The sequence below is a fragment of the Homo sapiens genome, chromosome 6, assembly GCF_000001405.40.
Source record: "Homo sapiens chromosome 6, GRCh38.p14 Primary Assembly".
Taxonomy (NCBI): Eukaryota; Metazoa; Chordata; class Mammalia; order Primates; family Hominidae; genus Homo; species Homo sapiens.
Window position 1 is genome coordinate 139,505,817 of NC_000006.12, and position 24,682 is coordinate 139,530,498.

The following is a 24,682-nucleotide window of genomic DNA, read 5'->3' on the forward strand; positions in this document are numbered from 1 at the left end:
GGCAGCCTCAGGAAGTCCTGACATGTGCCTAAGGTGGTCGGGGCACAGCTTAGTTTTATAGATTTTAGGGACACATGAGACATCAATTGATATATGTAAAAAGTACATTGGTTGGTCTGGAAAGGCGGGACAACTTGAAGCAAAGGCAGGAAGCAGAGAGGGGACTTCCAGGTCACAAATAGGTGAGAGACAAATGGTTGCATTCTTTTGAGTTTCCGATTAGCCTTTCCAAAGGAGGCAATCAGATATGCATCTATATCAGGGAGCAGAGGGGTGACTTTGAATAGAATGGGAGGCAGGTTTGCCCTAGCAGTTCCCAGCTTGACTTTTCCCCTTTAGCTTAGTGATTTGGGGGCCCCAAGATTTATTTTCCTTTCACACAAGCATGATGTATTACAGGCTTACACCCTTCTAGGTATGATTCTAATGAGAGCGTTACCTAAAACAAGGAATGTATCAATGTGTCCCAAATGACATTGTCACCTTCACCTCCAAACCAGGTCTTCCACCTCATTCCTAGGTATTTCCTGGGTGTTCCTAAACCTTGGCTTTTGCTCTCCTTTCTCCTTCCACCTTTAGATCATATCAGCTGGTATTTCATGCAGATTTTAATTCAGCAAACTTTTCCCCTTTTCCCCAATATTCAGTGGCTGGTCTACTTGTGGGTACAAAGGCCCAGACCCATTGTTTCAACTGGAGACCTGTGAAGGGCGATCCCAGCCTCAGAACCTCGCATGGGATGGACTCAGTACTCTGCTGCAACTGCATTTCAGTTTAACTTCTCCCTTTACCCAGTCCTAACTTCCTTATTCCCTAAAAAATGTTTCTGGGAGTGCTCCTCAGTAAACTTCATGCATAAACACTTCAGAGGCTCAGAGTATGTTTCCTGGAGAATTCCATCTGTGGCGTTTCCTCTTCATGCCTACTGCCACCATCCAGGTTTAGGCCCCCATTACCGCTTACCTGGAATATTGCAAAAGCTTTATCACTATTCTCTTTGCTCACTGGCTCTCCTATAATCAGTCTACACAACAGCAGACTAATTTTTTTTATCCCAGATCATAGCTCTTATGCTGTTTTCCTGCTCAAAAACTTTGGTGGCCCCCCAGTCTATTTAATTAGGTTCTTACTCCTTATTGTGATTTTCAAGACCCTTCCCAATTTAGCCCCCACTATTTTCAGCTCTCATCTTCTACTCCAGTATAAGTATGCTCCGCTCCATTTAAACTAGAACATTTGCAATCCTCCAAATCTACTGTAAAAATTCATTTTTCCTATATTTGTTCCAAATGTTCTCTTCTATTATCTTCTTTATAAAATTTGAACCATATTTCAAGGTCCATTCTCCTTTTTCTTTTTCATTTTTTTTCTAGATGGAGTCTCGCACTGTCGCCCAGGCTAGAGTGCAGTGGCGCGATCTCGGCTTACTGCAACCTCCGCCTCCTGGGTTCAAGCGATTCTCCTGCCTCAGCCTTCCGAGTAGCTGGGATTACAGGTGCCCCCCACCACACCCAGCTAATTTTTGTATTTTTAGTAGAGACGGGATTTCACTGTATTGGCCAGGCTGGTCTCAAACTCCTAACCTTGTGATCTACCCACCTCGGCCTCCCAAAGTGCTGGGATTACAGGCGTGAGCCACTGCTCCTGGCCAGGCTTAAGGTCCATTGTGAGAGCAATATTCATTCTTGGCATACCTGTATCAATGTATCTTATGTACCCCATAAATATATATCCCTACTATGTGACCAAAAAAATTAAAAATAAAATAAAAATTTAAAACCCATACATTCTCCATGCAGATTTTCCTCGTACCTCAACCCAATGTCATCTCTTCTTCATTAGTTATCCCAATGCAGTTTGTACTTCTCCTTGGTATCTATTGATTATATTTACTGTGTGTCAATTTCACCATTTTACCTCTCTTCCCTATCCTTTCACCTGCACTGATAGAATGTAACTGTGAGAGCAAGATTTTACCTCAATCATCTTTGTATCACTTGAAACAAGAAGCATCATCCTTAATCCTGGAGTTCAATAAATCATTAATAAATTCAATTGAATACAAGCTGCCAATTTGTTTGACATTTTTGTGAATGCTTTCTGTCTTTCTAGCTTTTCAAGTTTGGTATAGGAGGGTTTCATATGTAAATAAATATTTAACTATGGTTTTTTTAATGAAATCATTTATGTTCTTTCCCGGCACAATTTTCATTGGAAGATCTTTGAGGATTCCTTAAATAAGGTTCTAAAACTAAAGATGGAATGTGCCCCCATAAGGGAATGGCCATATCCTGTGAGACATAGGCAGGAATAGTCAGGAATTCCTGAGGGTGGAGAGGAGAACCCTGGCACATGTAATCAGATGATGTGACATCAAATCCATGGTGTAATTCAAAACACAGCTGTGGGGCAATAATCTGGAACAAACCATAAGTCTTTTTTTCCATCCTACAGTGGAGGCGACACCGGTTTTAGCTTCCTTATTCTATACAGGCAGCTTCACTCTTATCAAGATGTAGCTTCTCTTTTTCCATGTACCTTAGCCTCATTTCAGTAACTAATATCTTCTTTTCAGTCAAGTCAAATGAGAACAGTGGTGCTTTCCAAAGCACTTTTGATTGATGTTTGATATTGCCCATAACACTTCAATTAGAAACAGTGAAAATGGGTCACTAATTAAAAATAAGCTCTTGGTGTTAAAAATAATATTTACATAGGCAATCTGTGGAGAGAGAAATAAATTGATATATCATATACCTCAAGATATAGTTTTAATTTTATCCATCTATTTATATGATCCGATTTCTCAGAGCAAGCTAACTACAAATAGTATAGTATTAGAAATGTGACTTCTCCTTTTTGGGGTATAAAGGTGGAGTTTTCAACAAGCAGAGTGTGGTTATGGTTGGATAGAATAGTACAAGGTTGTGTTTACATAGAATCTTTCATTGAAAGAACTTTGAGTGCTTCATAAACATTGCTTCACGAATGCTTCCAGCACCCTTAGGAGGTGAATGGAGTTATTGTCCCCATTTAACTAATGGAAAAATTGGAAAAGAGAGGGCTTGAACTTCATATTCACCAGTCAATGGTCTATGTGACCACAAAAATATGTTCTACTTAGCCTTGAATTAATGCTATACATCTGTTCTGATTTTATGCTTTTGTCATTTTTTCTTTGCATTATACCATTAAAAAGTTATCATATAGAAACTTTCATGAATATTCTGTATTATGAGATATAATATTCTGCATCATTCTTTAAACTTCCACCAAAGTTCTACTATCACAGAAATTTTATTGGAACAGGGCTTTGTTTTACTTTATTTATTCATTTATTTATATTTTTAGAGACAAGGTCTCACTCTGCTGCCCAACCTGGAGTGCAGCGGTGCAACCCTAGCTCACTGTAGCTGCAACCTCCTGAGTAGCTGGGACTACAGGTGCATGCGATCACCCCTGGCTAATTTTAAAATTTTTCGTAGAGATGGGGTCTTGCTATGTTGCCCAGGCTGTTTTTGAATTCCTGGGCTCAAGTAATCCTCCTGCCTCAGCCTCCTAAAGTGTTGGGATCATAGGCATGGGCCACTATGCCTGGCCTACCCCATTTATTTAGAGGTTACATTTCTCTAAATAAATCATAGTTTCCATTGCTCCACACCCTTTCCAGTCTTTGGGATAGTCATCTTAACTACCAGAAATACAGCCACAATCTCAGATTTGAACTAACACTAGCCGTAGGTCAGTAACAGCTGTCACAAAATCCTTGAATTTTGCTTTGCAGAAGATAGCATCAGTTTAATCACCCAAGGGAAATGTGTAGAGTAGAGCAAGTGGTAACAGGACGTAGATCCACTGACATCAGTAAGAAATGACAATTGACAACGGAGGGAGAGTTTTAAAAAGCAGTTTGCTATGAGTGGTAAGATTATATGAGGGCTTTTGAATATTCTCCGGAAAAAGGCCATTTAAATGAGAATAAACTAGTTGTTTATCTTGTTTATCTTGTTTCTAGTTATTTGTCACAGTAGTTTGGAGTATGTTCTCTCTCTTACACAGCTCTGAGATGAGAAATAAAATGGCAGTGATAAATAAGCAAGGTTAGTCTGATGTGCTGATCATTCTTAGATTCAATTAAAGTTATATTCTGTGTATAAGATATTTGTAACTGTATTTTAAAGACGAATATCACAAATAGTTAAAAAAAGAAGTCCTTGAAGTAATATGTATCAGGAAAAGAAGAGCTCATCGTCTCCTCTAAAAGGGAATTAATTATCTTTTATCCAGTATACGTATGGAGCCAATCAGTGAGTGAGATATATACAGGCCCTCTGACAATTGTCAGAAGGTCTTGACATAGCTGCTAATGATCTGTTGACAGGAACAGCTGGTGATAGGAACAGAGGTGAGTGTTACTAGAGAAGAAGGCATGAAGATCTCACTGCAATGGTGCAGTGAGAGAACAGTAGACACGGTGCCAGCCAGAGCCCCATTAACTGGCCCTTAGTAAATTCCAGGATCCAAACTTTATGGTCTCTACTTGGCATGGAATAAAGATAAAAAAGGATTCTGTTTGATCATCTCCTTAATATCCATATACGAACATATTCCAAGGAGAAAACTGTGCCCTTTCTGCAATCCTGTACCTGAGTCTTTTAAAGAAAGCACAGAATATTTTGGACCTGATGTTCATTGGATCATTTGTCAACATGCCAAATAAACTTTAGCTCTCAGAGCACTTGGAAAACATGTTTTGGAGAGTCTGTGTAACATTCTGGGTGGGGCAGTTTCTAAAAGGCTCAATCTTAAACACAAAACAGAGCAGTAAGACCAGTGATTAGTATCGATGCAACAATTTTACAGCTATGCTGAATGTGCGCTGTGTTAGGAATGCTCTAAACCCATGCCGGGTCAACACGTCTTTCACCTTATGTTGCCCGAAGAGTGCTAAATAGTGTGTGTTACACATTTTTAATCTTTATCCAAATAAACTTAGTTTCTGCAAAAGTTATTCGATAATAAGAATTTATATATATTTCTCTTTTGGCTTCTAAAAATTATGAAATATTTCATACATATAAAATAATAAATATGAAGTAAGTATAAATGATAACAGTAAAATTTATATCCCTGTTTTTATCACCTAGTATAAGAAAGAAAACTTTTCTAATGCCTTTGGCACTCATATGAGTTATTTCTCACACTCCTTCACTTCAGAGATAACAACTGTCCAGACTTTTTGTGTTTATTATTCTCATCCTTTTCAATAAGTTTTACTACATATAGATATAGGTAGACAGAGATACACACACACATACACATATATACTCCTTATATATATGAATCCCTAACAAAATAGTATTAGTTTTACAAGTATTTGAACTTTATATGAAAGGTATACTATTTTATGCCTTCTGTGATTGGCCTTGTTTGTTCAGAATTTTATTTGTGAGATTCATTCATATGCATGTAGTTGATTCTCTGATGCAGAGTATTCAATTGTATAAATAGACCACAAGTTATCTATTTACTCCCCTTACCACTGACAGCCAGGTTGTTTCCAAACTATCAGGAACATTCTTGTGGATGTCTCCCGCTGTTCACAAGCAAGGCTTTCTAGAGGATATAGAAAGTGGAATTGCTGGATAGTGCGATATATGCATCTGTAACTTTACTACATAATGCTAAATCGTTTTCCAAAATCAATGAGCCAGTTCCCACTCTCACCAACAGTGGATCATAGTTTTCATTGCTCCACATTCTCTCCAACATCTGAGATAGTCAGACTTTTAAATTCTTGCCAATTCAGTGGACATGAAATGGTAATTTGTTTATTTAGTATTATTTTCCTGGTTACTAAAAAGGTCTAGCTGCTGGGCGTGGAGGCTCATGCCTGTAATCCCAGCACTTTGGGAGGCCGAGGAGGGCTGATCACGAGGTCATGAGATCGAGACCATCCTGGCTAACACAGTGAAACCCTGTCTCTACTGAAAAATACAAAAAAGTAGCTGGGCGTGATGGCGGGCACCGGTAGTCCCAGCTACTAGGGAGGCTGAGGCAGGAGAATGGCGTGAACCTGGGAGGCAGAGCTTGAAGTGAGCCAAGATCGCGCCCCTGCACTCTCAGCCTGGGTGACAGAGTAAGACTCCGTCTCAAAAAATAAAAATAAATAAATAAATAAATAAATAAATAAATAAATAAATAAAAAGCTCTAGCTTTGGATTATATGTTTTCCAGTCATTCATGTTTCTGCTTTGGTTAAATGTCTGTTTGCTTTGTATGGCCATTTTGTTACTGAGTTGTTGACTTTTTCTATCTGTTTTCAGGAGTTCTTTGTATATATTATCAGGGTGCAAATGCTTTTTTGGTTATATATATTCCAAACATCTGCTCCCAAATGATCTTTTCAATTTCTTTTAACATAGTCTGTTATTTCTTCAAAATTTTTACCAAGGTAAACAAATATTCTCTGCTCACTGTTTAAAGAGAGGTAAAACTAGATTAATTAAACTACTCAGAATTTTAATTCAAACATAAGAATCAGAAATGGTACAATACATTTGTGTTAATTATTTTAAAAGGCAAAATGGCAAAGATATGTTTCCTGACAGACTCTCCTGGGAAATCTATTGAAAGGATTATATCTAGTCTTAACCAAATGGATTCCTTTATTTATTTAACTGAATCCTGCCATCATTACAGGCATATCCAAAAAGTCTGTAAAAAATCAAATAGCAACACATCTCTCTCTTTCCTTCCAGCATCCAATTTCTGGAAAAAGTAGTCTACACTTGTCGCCACTTCCTTGGAATCACTTACTTCTTATCCTCGGGTGATCTGGCTTTCCCCAGCACTCATTTGAAAACTGATCTTTCAAAGGTTGCAATGACCTTGCAATTTCCAAATTGAATGGCTTCTTAATTAGAGTTGCCAGATTTAGCTTTAAAAAATACAGAATTTGCAGTTACATTCGAATTTTAGATAAGCAAAGAATAACATTTGAGTATAACTATGTCCCAAATATCCCAATTTATGTTCCAAATATTTGCCCTACGTCCTCTCTCCAAATACAATCAAGCACAAAGTGCCATCAATGCCCCAAGTATTTATATTAATAATTCCTTCATAATGATTATGATGTTGGAATGAAACAAAGATAGGGAAAGTTTGCTATTTAGTTTGCGTGATACATTTATGGAACAGGGGTCTGTGATTATATTTCCTTCTAACCAAATGTTTTTCCACCAGTCTCCAGGCCTGAGACTTTACCTGCTTCTGCTAGATTCTCCCTAGGCAGTATGATTAAGAGAGAAGATGCTTACCGACATAAATGATCCTGGTAGGGAGAAAGAGTCTCAAAGAATGGCTCTGCCCAGGAGAATCCAACTCTGAGAGAAAAGAGAAGGTCAGGCTTGGCAAAGCAGGGGGTGGGGGCGAGCTTGGAATTGGGGTTTAGGGTTCTTCTTCTTTATCTTATAATCTCACTTTTTTTCCCTCTCCTCTCCTAATCTCCTATAATACACTCCTACCTTTCCCAAACTTCTGTCTTCTGGAAGGAAATGCAAAACACTAATAAACATAAATCCCAACAGTGGAAATTAAAGCAATAATAAAATGTCCTGGAAGAATTTCAAACAGGTGAGGGATGTGATCAAAGATCTTTCTAAATAAATGTACTTTTGTTTGCTTTGAATTTTTAGTTGCAGCAATAATTTTAAGATGCAAATGATTTGAATTTAGAGACTTTCAATAACTTGGGAATAAGAGTAGTATACCACAATATTTAGCATTTAAAAATAGCATAGCACAACAAAGAACAGATTTCCTAAAACCAGAAGTCACTACTTCCTTCAAGAGTCTAAGACTTGGCTGGGCATGGTGGCTCACGCCTATAATCCTAGCACTTTGGAAGGCCGAGGTGGGCAGATTGCCTGAGGTCAGGAGTTCGAGAACAGCCTGGCCAACATGGCAAAACCCCGTCTCTACTAAAAATATAAAAATTAGCTGGGTGTGGTGAAGGGCACCTGTAATCCCAGCTACTTGGGAGGCTGAGGCAGGAGAATCACTTGAACCCGGGAGGTGGATGTTGCAGTGAGCTGAGATTGTGCCACTGCACTCCGGACTGGGCGACAAGGGCGGAACTCCGTCTCAAAAAAAAAAAAAAAAAAAAAGTCTGGTTGCGCGCGGTGGCTCACGCCTGTAATCCCAGCACTTTGGGAGGCCGAGCGGGGCGGATCATGAAGAAAGGAGATCGAGACCATCCTGGCTAACACGGTAAAACCCCATCTCTACTAAAAATACAAAAAAATTAGCCAGGCATGGTGGCGGGCGCTTGTAGTCCCAGCTACTCGGGAGGCCGAGGCAGGAGAATGGCGAGAACTCGGGAGGCGGAGCTTGCAGTGAGCCGAGATCACGCCACTGTACTGCAGACTGGGCGACAAGAGCCAAACTCTGTTTTTTTTTTGTTTTGTTTTTTTTAAAGAGTCTAAGCCTTTGGTCATTGCTTTCGGTATTAAAATGCAGTTCTTCACCCAAGATCCACCTTAAAAGTTATTGTCTTCTTGAAGCCTTCCCAGTCTCAATAATCTCAATCCCTGGCTCAGAGTAAGTTTGTATTTCAATTTAGTCTTTACTTATGGGGCTGTAGTCTTTTAGAAGTCCCTGTCTCTCCTGGATCATCACCTCCTTAAGGGAAGAGACAAGGCCTTGTTTGTATTTATAGTTCCACTATCGTTCGCAGTGGGTTGTGCTTAAAAACTGTTGACTTGAACCTCAGCCTTAAAGCAAAGAATAAACATTCATTTTGCTCGTGTAGAACAACAGATTGTACATGCATTAGTAAAATAAATTGGTAATATATTCTACCTCCAAAATTACACCTTGATAGGATGTTTTTGAGTAAACACACATTCAAGTTTTGGAAAATATTTACAAGTTTCAGGAGACAGTTGTGTATTTGAGAGATAAAGAAGTATTTAAAAAGTAAGGATCTGATAATGCTTGGCCCACCAGGCAAAAGAAGGCCATTTAAAAATGATGGGTCTTTCTTTTGTCTGCAAAGTCAGAAGACTGGTCCCCTGCAAGGAGAGAGTTTGAGAAACAAGGAATGTGGCCTTTCCTCCAAAGACCTCAGATAGATCATAGCGTGGATCCCAGTTGATACATGTGGAAACTGACGTTAAGCAACTTGCCTAAAGGGAGTCATTTGACTAGAGCTGGGAACAATCTCCAGCTTGTGCTGTAACACAGACTGTGTGGACAGAAGTCAGGCTCCACAGACTGTTTTGTGAGTGTAATGTTAGCATGATATTAGCAAACAATAAAGCAACATATGCTACAGACATGGCCAGAGAAATCAGTTTTGATAAAAGCACAAAATGACCTGGGAGAGAAGAGGTAACGCTCAGAAAGACGAGCCCTGTGGTTGCTAACATTTTTATTAGAGACTTTACAGAAATGAATGTTCAACGTCTAAGTGTTACTCAGGGAACATCCGAGCTACCACAATTATTCCTGCACAAACCTGCTGTATTCCTTGACTCTCAATACCTTTTTTCTTGTATCTGACATGAACATAGCTCTACGGAAATGATGGGGGGAAAGTGAAGGAGCTGAGCTTCATACGTGGGAAAAATGTGTTGAAATAGACTGTGAAATTAAAAAATAAGCATGGCACCAAGAGAGTGGTTTGAAGAGTGTTCCCCACAATGTTTCTATGAAAACGTAAGCATGTCGTTTAGATCATTGCTAGAATTCTGAATTGCTACCATCAGCTTTTCACAGTTTGGATAAAACATGTAACCAAATCCTAACACTCATTATGAAAACACATATGGAAAATCCCTTTTCATTCAGAGCAGACGACCTACAAGCACTGTTTTAGCCACAAGAATGTGTCCCTGTGAACATGACACCAGAGTCCCAGAATGTGGGGCTCTTTAATGTGCCACACAAGAGCTGGGATTTTTATTCTGCTTCACATTCCTCACAAGGCTCTGTTTTGAAGCTCTTAGGCAAGAGGTAATGTGGGAACAGCATTGTATTCATAAAGATTTCAAAGATGTGGAGGTTCCCACCATTTGACCTATTTTGCCACTGATGCATTATTCTGCTGCAGAAAGTCTCATGTGTACAGCAAACTCATTAAGGCTTAGTATGTTCTTACCTGTGTGCATTTCTGTGTGTCTGTATAAATATATATGTTTTTCGTATAAAGGCATACTTTTTCTAGACAACAAGATGAATACATTGAATCTCAATTTTTTTTTTTTTTTTTTTTTTTTTTTTTTTTTTTTTTGAGACGGAGTCTCGCTCTGTCGCCCAGGCTGGAGTGGCGCAATCTCGGCTCACTGCAAGCTCCGCCTCCCGGGTTCACGCCATTCTCCTGCCTCAGCCTCCCAAGTAGCTGGGACTACAGGCGCCCGCCACTACGCCCGGCTAATTTTTTGTATTTTTAGTAGAGACGGGGTTTCACCGTTTTAGCCGGGATGGTCTCGATCTCCTGACCTCGTGATCCGCCCGCCTCGGCCTCCCAAAGTGCTGGGATTACAGGCGTGAGCCACCGCGCCCGGCCGGGAGCAGGTTGTTCTTGTATTGCTCATTCCACTCATCCTTCCAGGAGAACAGGCTACATGTTTATAACAAACTAGAGAGCTCTGGGTGGAAGATTTTTTTTTTTTTTTTTTTTTTTTTTTTTCCTTGTTATCAGAATGTAGCCAGGCTTAAAGAAGACTGGTTATCTATTAGTCATTTGGTATTCTAAACACGTGGGTGTGGACTCCCAACCTGCCTGCGGCTTGCCTGAATTGTAACCAAGTTTGTCCAAAACTGGTTACCTAAATGCCAGAGAGACTGTGCTTTTTGTCACTTTAACCAAAATCCCAGTGCGTGGGCCAGAATATTCATAATATTGTAGATTCATAAAGGACAGAACTGACATCTTCAAAGAATGTAACAATGAAGTAAAATGAGTGCTTTAGGAAGAAATATAACAAAACACAAACTCAGAAACGAGCTTGATTCCTGGAAGAGTCACCTAGGGAAACAATGCAAATCCAAAGCATTTTTTAACTCCTTTAAAAACAGCCTTTCATGAATAGTTTTGGTTGCACGTGTGAAAATTCTTTATTTTATTGATATTTCTCATTTTCCATCAAAATTAATTTATCATATTGGGGGAAAAAAAAAACCCCACAGGCTTTAGAGAGTCAAAGACCTGCATCAAATCTAACTTCCGCTAGATTGTACTTTTATGATCTTGGAAAGTGCTTAATGAGTTTTGATTTACTCATCCAAGAAATGGGAAACTTTTAACAAAAAGATTCATGTCCTGGATCTAGTGGTTCTACTTCTAGGAAATTATCTGATGGGAACGATCATAAAAATCCACAAAGTTTTATCTATGAAGAATGTTCCTTTGCAGCATTGAAATATTGGAATTGTGTGAGTAGACTATGATATATCCACAAACAGGAATACCAAATAGGGAGTAAAGATTTTTGTGGAAGAAATTTAGTGACATGAAAAATTGTTCACAATATAATAGTAAGTGAAAAATTATAAGGTTATACACATTGTTATTAATTTTTGGGGAAAATGTATTCTTATGCTTACCCATAGAAGAAACACTAGGTAGATAAGCGCAGTAATATCAGTAGTGATTCGATGTGGGTAAGTGGGACACTGAAGCAGCTTTGGTCTCTACTCTTCAAGATTTTTCAACCTTCCTTCAATAACATGTGCTAATTTTATAATTATTAAATATATATCAAATAGGGACATTAATATTCACCTTATAGATTTGTGTTAAGAATTAAATTAGGTGAGATGATTCATGAAAAACAGTTTAGTGCCTAGCATTTAATTGGTGTTTTTGATTATTTTTATCCAGTTTAATCAGTCATCATGGACTTAGCTCAAAATGATTTTTTTGACTTGAAACAAAACCAAAAATACTACCCTTTAACTGGTGAAAATTTATCACCGTTAAGGATATTCAAAAAAAAAATGCACCGTAAGCTATGAAGGCAATTTCAAAAGAGATGTTTCTGAAATGCCTTGAGCAATGAGAGAGACAATGAAATAAGCAATTAAACTTAAGGTGACTACTTTGCAGCATTTATTTGGACCTAGAAGCTTTGGTTTGTTTGTTTAAAAAACCTGTCATTACTATAGCCACATTGGGTACACGGATAGACGGAACAATATCTAACTCAAAGCGGGTAATTAGTCTGTCAAGATAAATGCCCCCTCTTCTTCAAGCTGATAAAAAGTATCTTGTCAGGGCCTCTTGTGTCATCCCCCAAACACTGTGCGTAAGCCCTGCTGTTTTCTCTTGCAACACGCTTCATCCTGCAGAAATGCAGAGGGAAGCTTTTTGTGGGTATGGTTGGTTGAAAGACAGTTCATATTACCCCTATCTCCTTTCCTGGACTGTATATCTCTGGGGTGCTATGACCTTCTCCCCCCCCCAGGGCACATGTGCACTTGCGCGCAGGCACACACACACACACACACACACACACAAATATGTATACCCAGGGCCGGGCGTGGTGGCTCACGCCTGTAATCCCAGCACTCTGGGAGGTCAAGGCGGGCAGATCACCTGAGGTCAGGAGTTCAAGACCAGCTTGGCCAACATGGTGAAACCCCGTCTCTACAAAAATTAGCCAGGTGTGGTGGTGGGCGCCTGTAATCCCAGCTACCTGGGAGGCTGTGGCAGAAGAATCGTTTGAACCCAGGAGGCAGAGGTTGCAGTGAGCCGAGATCGTGCCATTGCACTCCAGCCTGGGCGACAGAGCGAGAGTCTGTCTCAAAAACAAACAAACAAACAAACAAAAAAACAAAAAACAAACAGAAAGAAACATGTATACCCACGCACACACAGACATACACACACGGACACACATTCTCCCCCGCCCCCACACACACACCCTCAGAGAGATACCTTATCTCTCTGGCTCTCATACACACTCCTACTTTCCCCTCTCCTCGCCTATCGATCTCCTCTCCCCTGTGCTGAGTTAGAAGCTCCTCCTATTATTTTTGTAATCTCTGTTTTAGCATTTCCCATAGAATATTGCAAACATGGAGTGCTTATCTCGCTCTCACACTGGAGTTCCTTGAGCCATCTGCCACTTTTATTAGCCTCTCAGAACGCTCATTTCTTCATCTTAGTGTTCCATTGACAAATGGGAACATAATGCCTCATTTAGAAGTTAGTTGTGGGCATTCCATTGCATAACGGAGGTAGAATTCCTGGCACATGCTAGCCACCCAATAATGGAAGCTATTATTATGATTAATTATATTATTTATTCACTTTTATATCCTGAGGGCCTGGCATAGTGTCTGATGTGTGATGAGTGTAAAATAAATTTCTGGTGAATTAATGAATTAACTCACAAGCTTACAGAATGTGGCTTCAAAATAAAAGAAGAATGTTGTTTTGTAGCGTTTATAGTAGGTGTGAGCGGCAAATCCACGTGCTTCCCCTTCTTACCCCTTTCCCCAAACAACCTATCTGGTGCCAATCCTTGGGAAAAGAAACCGTTACCATCTAGATATAGAAAGCCTATTGACTATTATTTCCATGTAGATATGGCTTAGCAAGGATAAGAGGAATTTTCTCCCTTGATTATCATCTCCTTAGGCTATGTAGTTTATTTCCCAGAGACCGGTCTTCCTTAGCCTTGTTAACCTTTATATGCTTTCTAACTCCAACAAACAATTATTGGCTGAAATAACCTGATCGAGACACAATCAGCTTCACGGCTGCCTCCAGACTCTACCCGATCTGTTAGCGCTAATCTATTCACCTCTCAGTGTTCACAAAACCTGTTAGCTGATTTGCATTCCACCTCCTATCTTTTCCCTACTTCCTTTGAGGAAGATGTTTGTGAATTATTTTAAGCCAGTTGAATCACTCTGGGAGTTAAGTGCTATTTTAAGCTTTTGAGGAACAGTTGAGAAGGAATGACTTAGGGATGTGAAGCATTTCCCAATAATATCCCACAGAAACTTCAACTTACCAAGTTTGTGGTAAATTTCAGGATATTAAGACACCCTGAAATGGGTCACTGTTCTTGGATACCAGATTCTAAGCTACCCATTGCAAAATGTCTTGTTAAAGCCATGGTGTACGGTGCAAGTGAGATCCACGAGAGGCCATCTGCTGCTTGAGAGAATGTCTTCCTTTCCAGCATCTGAATGCACTGCTTTCCTTGCTGTCTGCCTAGTTGCAGAACTTTGTCTTCTTTTATCAGGACCACTGTCTCTGTGTCCTTGTCAAACTTTTTGTCCCCTAACGGCATCCTCTCCTTCAAATATTGTGCAGCAGATCTAGGGTCCCAGGTGAGTGGACCTCCGTAAGCAGATCACAAGGTGAGCACCCTCTTGAATAATTATTCCACTTGCTTTTATGAACCTTTCCTGAGCCCCCAGCCCACCAGCCAATGTATATTTCCCTACCAAAAAACGCTACCAGTTCCAGGAAGTCTTCCCAGAGTGATAAGAACACATGCTTTATCTTATCTCAACTTTTCTAGACCTCTATGTTGATTGCCGTCATCGCATGTTGACCCTGCTGGCTCCTTATTGGTCACCCTTATATAGAAATCTATGCCTTTGTGATCAACTGTGATGTTGCATTTTGCCATCTGTATGTCCTTATCATGCTGGTTCAAAACATTCTTTTTAGTTGTAGAATGTACCCAGTTAGAATGGAAGGACCGTATTTCTTTTCTTTCTTTTTCTTTTTTTTTTTTTAAGGTGACTAATGAAACACCAAGTCATATAATTATGACTTAATGGATACTTTCTGTTGTTGCTGATGATGAAATGTCCTTTCATATTCAGACTGTATCTTCCTGTAAATCAGGTACAGTGAGTCATGGGGGAACAATGGTGGGATGTTACAGTGATGAAATCTGGAGTCAAATCTTTGTCATTAACGAACTGAAAACTTGGATAGAGTTTTATACAATTTCTTTATATACATGGAGCCAGCTGTCTTTCATTGGTTAGGGGTGAAAATAGGTCCACAGTTTATGGATTATGGAGTTTGGATAAAGATAAGTGATGTTCTGAATCGCCAAGTCTACTCCAAACTTCAGGGAAATCACCACTCCATGCATGAGGAGTGATCTCTTTTGCACTCATTTTTGCACACTGATATTTTTTTTTGCAGTGAAGGTACCAAATTTATACATTCATATGTATATATATTTAAACTGTTTTTCCTTTGATGTGGAATGCTGAGAAAATCTAACACTAAATTTTGGAGATGTTGCTGTAATCTGTAGTTTTTTGGAGGAAGAAAGATGATTGCAGTAATATTTTTGTCACTTCATTACTGTCGTTCCTGTAGTAATTGTCAATGTAGGGGTTTATATTTTATTCAGATTTATCAGTAGGAATATGGGAATAGAGATTTTAAAATTAAGAGCGAGGAGAAACCCAAGAGTGCCTTCGTATTCTAAGTAAGGAAACAGACCCTTTGAAAGGTGACGTGTTTAAGATTAGATGGCTAACGTTGTGCCAACCCAGGCCACCTGCTTCCAGGCCCTGCCGCCCCCATGAGCTCTTGCCACTGAGAATAACATAAGGCAGGGAGATGTTGAGAAGCTCTTGAGTTTTGCCTATTTAGGTAGAAGTCTTCTTGGTGGCTTGCTTGATGCTTTCACATTTACAGAGTGTTCTTGTGGGCATAACCAACACGTGCTTGTATATATGGCACACATGTACTGGCATGTAAAGTAATAAGACACTGTAATGAAAGCTCTTCTTCCAAGTAGTGCCAAACCATCACTAACCTGGCCCATAGGCTTCAGTGAGTAAAGAAAATCAAATGTGGTATCAGCAAATATTTAATGTGGGAAGAAGGCCCTAAGATTGGAAAAGGTGGAGGAAGGACAGATCTTCAGCTTTCTGTGCCTTCCTTTGGCCATGGGATTCCAACAGCTGTGCTCCTGGCTTATTTACAGTGAGAGGTTGTCTTGCTCTTCCTTTCATCCTCTTATTCCCATCCTCCAACTCCTCAAGAGAGTTCCAGAAGTTCCTGTCTGTAGTCTAGGGAAGAGGTAAAACACCTCTCTTCAAATTTGAAGGAAAAAAAAACTTGGAAATAATCTTTAGTTGATCATATATCTTATTTCCTATTTTTTTATGGGGATTAGGCTATGGAGATGGTTAACTGGTCTACAAATGAAAAACAACAAGAACAACAACAGAAACAAAAACAAAACCCCTAAATCTTTTTTTTTTTTTTTTTTTTTTTAGATGGAGTCTCTTTCTGTCTCCCAGGGTGGAGTGCAGTGGCGCCATCTCGGCTCATGGCAAGCTCCACCTCCCGGGTTTGCGCCATTCTCCTGCCTCAGCCTCCCGAGTAGCTGGGACTACAGGCGCCCACCACCACACCCGGCTAATTTTTTGTATTTTTAGTAGAGGTGGGGTTTCACCGTGTTAGCCAGGATGGTCTCGATCTCCTAACCTCGTGATCCACCTGCCTTGGCCTCCCAAAGTGCTGGGATTACAGGCGTGAGCCACTGCGCCCAAACTAAAACCCCTAAATCTTTTGTAACCCCTCTCTCCTGTGTACATTCCTTGGAACAAATCCCACTGGGTCTTGGCTGTGTTCCTCAGGCACATCGTAGTGTGTGACATTCCTCTTTTAAACCATCACAGAACTACTGAATTGAGGGTGACCCCTGGTCCCCTGGCCACCGGCATTATGGCAGTTCCTCTTCTTTTGTTCCACTTTTCAGGAAAATTCATTGCCTTCAGGCACAGGTCTTCCTTCCCAAAATAGTTCAAAGTGTACATCTCTTTTCCAAAATTATGTAAATCTTAATTTGTAATAAAATCACATGAATGAGTTGTGGTAAGTTTTTGGCAGGGTTTAGAAAATAATGGTTTCATTTAAACATGAATCACTAAAACACTACTTCCTTAACACAATTAACTCAAAGCAGCCCTTATTGCTAGAATTAAGAGATTTCCTTCACAAAGCTCCCTGCCTTATACCGACTTCCAGTATAGAGACCTAGGCACCATAAGTACAGAAATTTGCCTTAACAAATCATCTTCATTTCCCTAAAACATAGGAATGTTTTCCTAAAAATCTGTTCCTTCTCATTATCTTCCTGAAGAGGTCTTCTCAAGTTTCCAGAGTATTCATAGACTGACTAAGACATGGGTAAGTAAATATACCAAAGGTGAAAAAAAGGAAAAGTTGAGGAATGTCATTTCCCCTGAAGGAGATTTTTCAATAAGCAGGTGAGAGGTATGGGAATGTGTTTAGAATGTGTTCTAAGAACGTTTTGTTCTAAACAGGACTGGAGTAGGGTGTCTGTAGTGATGGTGAGACCAGTGACCCCTTGGCAGTGTGAAAGTTGAATGAAATATCAGTGAGAGTTTTGCTTGGCCATGGAATCGTTGTTACATAATGTTGCTCCTCAGTGACAGAAAGGAAAAATGGCATTATTGTCAAACAATATTTGTTTTTAAACCTAGGTAGACTTGACAATGTTTAAGATGCTAAAGAAAATTAAAACTCTTTCCCTTTAGGGAAATTAAAGTTTGAAAGACAACATGATTGGCAACCTGTATAGTAATTTTTATTTCTGTTTTCCAAATAAAAGAAATTAGAAGACTGTACCTTTTTATTCTCTGCCCTCTGACACTGATCTTTTCTTTCTTCTGTTGCAAGTAAGTGTTTGGTGGTGAGGAAAGGTGAGGAGGTGTATGGGCGTGAGGAAAGGTGAGGAGGTGTATGGGCGTGCTTTCATTGTAGAAGAGACAAGGCAGCTGATTAGAGAAAACAAAGCTGGTTGGAGAAGAGGGGTGGGAAAGTTCATTCATTACATTTTTAAAAATTAGGATATAATGGACTAATTATAAAATGTCAAGATTTCACTAACACATTCCATGTTTCTTTTCTATTAAGAGAAATTGTAATAATTGTTGAGCTTGCTTCCTTCTTTTAAGTAGGAACCTATGATCTTCTAATCTTCATATGGGATGCCTTTTATGTTGAATAATGTCTAAGGAGCAGAGCAAAGCTCTAAGTCACTATTAACCCTATAATAAAGCAGAACACACAAAATGATGGATTTTGAAGGCTACGTTAGAAAATTACATTTTATTTATTTAATGTTTGACTAGGTTGAAAGACACATGATACCCAATATTAAAACATACACAGTGAGTCCATTTCCCTTCAGTCTGCTGCCCACAACCACCGAGCTTTTCTCCTCAAAGACAATCATCCTTATCATTTTATTTTATTTTTTCCAGAGATAGTTTATTAGAAGATTCTTTTAAAAATATTATTTGAATGCTTCTGATGACATCAGGTTATGAGGCTTAACCTTTCCCCACCGGGGAAAATTTCTTGGCTCCTTTTGGGCAAAAGGGAAGAAGATAAGCTCAGATTTCCTTTTTCCTTCCTTCCTTCCTTCCTTCCTTCCTTCCTTCCTTCCTTCCTTCCTTCCTTCCTTCCTTCTTTCCTTCTTTCCCTCCCTCCCTCCCTCCCTCCCTCCTTCCTTCCTCTCTCTCTCTCTCTCTCTCTCTTTCTTTCTTCAGGGTCTCACTGTCACCCAGGTTTGAGTGGCACTATCTTGGCCCCCCACAACCTCTACCTCTCGGGCTCAAGTGATTCTCCTGCCTCAGCCTCCAAAGCAGCTGGTACCACAGGTGTGCACCACCATGCCTCTCTAATTTTTTGTATTTTTGGTAGAGATGGGTTTTCACCATGTTGCCCAGGCTAGTCTTAAACTCTGAGCTCAGGCCATCCACCTGCCTCGGCATCCCAAAGTGCTGCGATTACAGGTGAGAGCCGCTGCGCCTGGCCTCGGATTTTCTTTAGAGAGTGACTGCCTCATGACAACCCTGAAAGGTAGCTAGAGCCAACTCTACTTTCTATATAAGGAAAATTGTGATTCCTGGGTTTAGAGCCCCTTCCTCATTTTCCTTGTGTTGCAGTGGTGCTCGGCCAACCCACAGGGCTTCTCTGGCACCAGCTCAATGGCTCTAGTGTAGGTGCAAATTGGTTTTCCTGTTTTGAAACCATGTTCCAAAATAGCTTGTAAGGGGCCAGAAAACTTCAAATGTATACTAGCAATGCCCAGAGTTCTAACAGAATTCTGAGTGCACGAATACAAATAAGCACACGACCTCCTCAGGTCTCACTGCCCAACTCTGATGGCAGCTTGAATGGGCTCCACAATTCGTAAAAACTCTCAGGAGGAGAGGTTGGGCTCATTTCTTCTATTTAGCCACAATAAAACACATTAAGAATGGTGGTGATTTAAGACAGATTTGCTGGGAGTGTCTGGCAATTGTTCATCATCGTTGATGCTTTTTATCTGCAAAGTTTTTGTCATCCTTGCCCCATCTCCCAGTGCACCCCATTTCGTTCTTGAGGGGGCACTTCTGGCAACAACAACGATGAGGCATCTGAGATTGTCAGCTGCTCTCTCAGTTATCGGTGGAATTTCACTTGTTTGAGTTTTCTTATTTGTGCACATCTTGATTTGGTTATACATGCCCCAATTTCTTTCAGGCCTTTGCAGATTTGGCCATGATGGACTTATAGCATTTATTTTAGAATTGCTTTTAAAATACGGATCATAAATAGTTTCTGAAGCATTCAACAGAAGGACATGTTGTTCCCTGTTTGTATCACGATGTCATGTTGGATTGTCATTAATAATTGGTTTGCATCATCCATGTGCTACTACCCCCACTTTCCAAGGGTAATAATTTTGACATTATTTTTAGTCCATCTACATAGTTCTGAAAACAACCAAGAAGAGGAGGAGTATTCTTTTAAATGACATTCTTTCTGAGCAGGGGCTTATCATCCATCTGTGTTCACAAAGAATGAAGTGTTCTGTTGTTTATCCCTGATGCTGCAACACTGGAACATTCTTCATAGCTCTGTAAGCACCTAAGAATCAAAGCCCATAAATATAAATGTATGTAGGATGTACTTTTTTTCCCTTGTTATATTAAAAGCACAGCAACATGTCTGACCCAGATTAGTATTTCTTTCTTTTCCTTTCTTGTTTTTTTTTTTTGAGACGGAGTTTTGCTCTTGTTGCCCAGGCTGGAGTGCAGGCTCACTGCAACCTCCGCCTCCTGAGTTCAAGCAATTATCCTGCCTCAACCTCCCAAGTAGCTGGGATTACAGGCATGCACCAACACGCCCGGCTGATTTTTTGTGTTTTTAGTAGAGACGGGGTTTCTCCATGTTGGTCAGGCTGGTCTCGAACTCCCGACCTCAGGTGATCCGCCCACCTCGGCCTCCCAAATGCTGGGATTACAGGCATGAGCTACCACGCCCTGCCTCAGATTAGTATTTCTCAGGATTAGAATAAATAGGCTTTTAGATTACTTTGCAACTATATCAAGGTTAATTGGAATACCCTCTTAAATATTTTATTCTCTCAGTCATGTAATAAATACTGTTCTTAAGAGTAATATTCCTTATTTGCAATATTAAAAGAAAAATTATGTGTAGCACTTCACCCACCTCTCACCCCCAGGAATCATGCCAGATGGTGACAGGGAAATTGTCATAGAAACTTGGGACCACAAATGCATTGGTAGTTGAGGCTGGGCAACACTGGAGACCCATTTGGATGCTTCCATGGGAGTGGTGTCCTGGAAGAGAGGCAAAGACCACCTTCACCACTGGAGCAAACCATTGACAGCAGCATGGAAGCTCTGGCCTCTGAACATAGGACAAGGCATTTCCAAGCATGTTCTGGTAGGATGTTCACATCTGCTGGTATGGACTGAACGTTTGCGTCTTCCCTCCAAATTCATATGTTGAAGTTCCAATTTGTAATGTGATGGTATTTGGAAGTGGGGCCTTTGGGAGGTCATTAAACTTAGATGAAATCATGAGGGTGGGGCCCCATGATGGGATTAGTGTCCTTATAAGAATAGGAAGAGAGACCAGAAGCTCACTCTTTCTCTGCCATGTAAGGACACAGTGAGAAGGTGGCCATCTATAAGCCAGGAAGAAGTTCCTCAATGGAGAACTGAATTGGCAGTCACCTTGATCCTGGGCTTCCTGGCCTCCAGAACTGTAAGAAATGCATTACTGTTATTTAAGCCACCTGGCCTATGGTATTTTGTTATGGCAGCCCAAGCTGACTAAGACACCTCTATATGCAAATGCTGCTCAGTCGCTAAAATTTTATCAGCCAATAAAATTTTGACTTATCATTTTAGACTTAATGTTGCTGTTTGCTTTGATCTGGTCCAATTTCTTGCTGGTGACCTAGAAAGCCTATCAGGCCAAAAGTTATTTTATTGTTCATTGGAGACAGTTACTTCTTCAACATTTCCAAGCTCAAAGGCTTGTGGTAGATTTTCCTGTCCAGAAGTATTTAGTTTTACTTATTACATTTACCTGATAATTAATTATTCATAGCACTTAATCACCAATACTGCCTTAAAATTGTTTCATTTCTTTTCCCTTGTCTGTATTTCTCCTCCTGAATCTTAGCTCTATGAAGGTCAGGACTCGTTCTCTTTTCCTGTCTGCATCTTCAGCACCTAGCACAGTACCCAGCCCCAAAGGGTGCTGAATGGATGATGGAGTAAGGAACATTCTGGAGTGTGATGAGGGCCACTAGGTAACAGCACCTCTAATTCATGGGTACCTTGGTCACTGAAAAGAACTAAGGAATGCCTGCATAAAAATCTGTACAAGGATGCTTATAGTAGCTTTATTCATAATTTCCAAAACCTGAAGGCCACCAAGATGTTCTTCAGTAGATGAATAAATGAACGTGGTACATCTAGGCAATGGAATATTATTCAGCACTAAAGAGAAACAAGCTGTTAATCCACGAAAAGACATGGAGGATATTTAAATGCACATTACCAGGTGGAAGAAGCCAATCTGTACGTGTGATTCTGACTATATGCCATCCTGGAAAAGGCAAAACTATTGGGACAGTAAAACAATCATTGTTTGCCAGGGGTGACAGGGGGCAGGTGGGTGCGGAGGGATGAATACATGGACCACAGAGGATTTTTAGGGCAGTGAAACTACTCTGTATGCTGTAATAATGGTGAATATAAGTCATTATATACTTGTCCAAACCCATTGAATATATAACACCAAAATTGAACATTAGTGTATACTATGGATACTGATAATAATGGTATGTCAACATAGGTTTATCAGTTGGATAAACGTAGGATATCAGTACCACTCTGGTGGGGAATGTTGATAATGGGTGAGGAGGGGAGGCTATGTATGTGTGGGGGGAAGGAGGTAGATGGGAAATCTCTGTATTTTTTTTTCTCAATTTTGCTGTGAACCTAAAAATGCTCCTAAAATATAGTCTTAAAAAAGGAGCTAAGGAATTCTTTAGATAATGTTTTTCCTAGGGTATCTGTTTCCTCCGTCTCCCTGTTTCTTGTCTAGATGGTATCAAATTCATTTCCTTGCTCTGCCTTAAAGTCACCATTCTAACCTAACCGGTAACAGGAAGATTGAGTTGGCAAAAGGGACTCCTCAGAGCTTTGAAGGAGGAATTGGGGAACTGCTTGGCCATATCTGTAATCTCAAACAAATTATAATTTATACACAGAACTAAGAAGAACTCTAGCATAGAACCTAGGAAATTATAATCTTCAACTATCCTCTGTTTAGGCAGACTATAAAGCTAGGATTACTGAACGCTTATATATAGAAAAAAGGAAGAAAAGATTTTTCCAGTAGGCAACCAGAAGCCCTAAATACTTGCTTTCATTATGATGTAAATTTTCATACAAATACAGAGAAAACCGTGGGTTGAGTATATATAGATTTTCATAATGTATTTGATAATTCAGTTTTTAGTGGAATATCCCAGTAATTCTCATTTGGGGGAGAGAATGATTAGTCAGAGTTGGGGAACCAACTTAAAAACAGGAAATGAAGGGTATGGTAAATATAGGTAATCTCTCTATGGGGAAATATAAAGAGAACAATGTTCAAGCCTTTGTTTTAACCAAATTCCTTATAAATGATTTTTGGTCTAGGATAAAATGTACAGCAAACTTCTCAAATGTGTGATTGACACAAAACTTTTTTGACTTGAGAGACAAGCCAAAAAAAGAGATAAATGCAGGAAGTTAATGAATCTGTATAAGTGGGTTTAAAAATGGCAACTAGCACATTTGAGAGGTTTTAGGTAAGAGCAAAAACTAATATTTATCAAGAGCTTATCATGTACAGGCTGCTGTTCAAAGCACTTGGCATCTATTATTTTACTTAGCGTCATAACGACCATATGAAGTCAGTACTATTATTATTATTATTATTATTATTTTTTTTTCAGACAGGGTCTCCCTCTGTCACCCAGGGTGGAGTGCAGTGGCATGATCTTGGCTCACTGCAGCCTCCACCTCCCAGGCTCAAGTGATCTTCCCAGCTCATGCTCCCTCTTAGCTGGGACCACAAGGGCGTGCTAACATGCTCAGGCCTGGCTAATTTTTGGTATTTTTTTTATAGTGATGGGGTTTCACCATGTTGCCCAGTCTTGTCTCAAACTCCTGGGGTCAAGCGATCCTCCTGCTTCAGCCTCCCAAAGTGCTGGGATTACAGGCATGAGCCACTGCATCTGCCCAATTGGTGCTATTATTATCCTGGTTTCATGAATCCTGAAGCTGAGATAGTGAGAGGTTAACTTGCCCAAGATCACACACAAATAGTACATGGTGAAGCTAGCTTTACACTTAGGGAGCCTGACTGACAGCTTGTGTGCCTTATCACTTCCCTATGGAGCCTCATCAAATACACAGAAATGAAGGGAATAGAAACCGAGAAAGAAACTAGAGATCTGGAGTATTGTTCAAAGAGGAAACTCTTCCAGGAAGAACAAATAGAAAAAAGCTGAGCACCAGATAAGGTGTTGAAAAACCAAACCAAATGTTGTCTTATTTATTTATAATTTGGATGTATTTACACCTGCATTATTGTGAGCAGTTCTGGTCAAAGTAAGTTTAGAAAGAACCAGTAGAAGGAGATTGGCAATGAAAATGGCAGAACATGCAGTCAGTTGCTGTCCACAGGGGAGAAAAATGAAAGAACAGATGAAAATGGAAGTTTGGGGCAGGGCGTGGTGGCTCACACCTGTAATCCCAGCACTTTGGGAGGCTGAGGCGGGCAGATCATGAGGTCAGGAGATCAAGACCATCCTGGCTAACACGGTGAAAACCTGTCTCTACTAAAAATACAAAAAAATCAGCCGGGCATGGTGGCGGGCGCCTGTAGTCCCAGCTACTTGGGAGGCTGAGGCAGGAGAATGGCGTGAACCCGGGAGGCAGAGCTTGCAGTGAGCCCAGATCAAGCCACTGCACTCCAGCCTGGGCGACAGAACGAGACTCTGTCCAAAAAAAAAAAAAAAAAAGGAAGTTTGGGAGAAAGACTTACTTTAAGAATAAAGATTGAAAACAGGCCGAGATGAATATCTATGAAATCATAACTGGCATGGCTGAAGTGGATACAAATGTTATTCTTGAAATATCTGGCAAAGTAAATTCAGGATATAAAAGGGAAATAGTGGTGAACTCATTTAGTAATAAACACATGCCATTACTACCCCAAAAGTTAGTATGGGCACAACATATCATACATTTTGCTGTGTTTAACAAATTATTGGAAATAATTATAAAC

The 24,682-nt window shown here is 40.0% G+C and overlaps 1 long non-coding RNA gene across 1 annotated transcript, besides 1 other annotated feature; it reads left to right on the top strand.

The window, feature by feature from the left end:
• Positions 12,802-13,278: a transcriptional cis regulatory region, noted in NCBI's record as "candidate enhancer chr6.4965 targeted for multiplex CRISPR interference". NCBI's record gives its function as "positively regulates CITED2 gene expression in K562 cells {active_cell/tissue: K562}" and the evidence as "EXISTENCE:mutant phenotype evidence [ECO:0000015][PMID:30612741]".
• Positions 19,007-22,160, top strand: LOC105378023 (uncharacterized). The gene is made up of 3 exons (XR_943067.2): positions 19,007-19,940; positions 20,547-20,770; positions 21,518-22,160. It is a non-coding gene; the product is annotated as an uncharacterized LOC105378023 (long non-coding RNA).
• Positions 22,161-24,682: the final 2,522 nt, after the last annotated feature.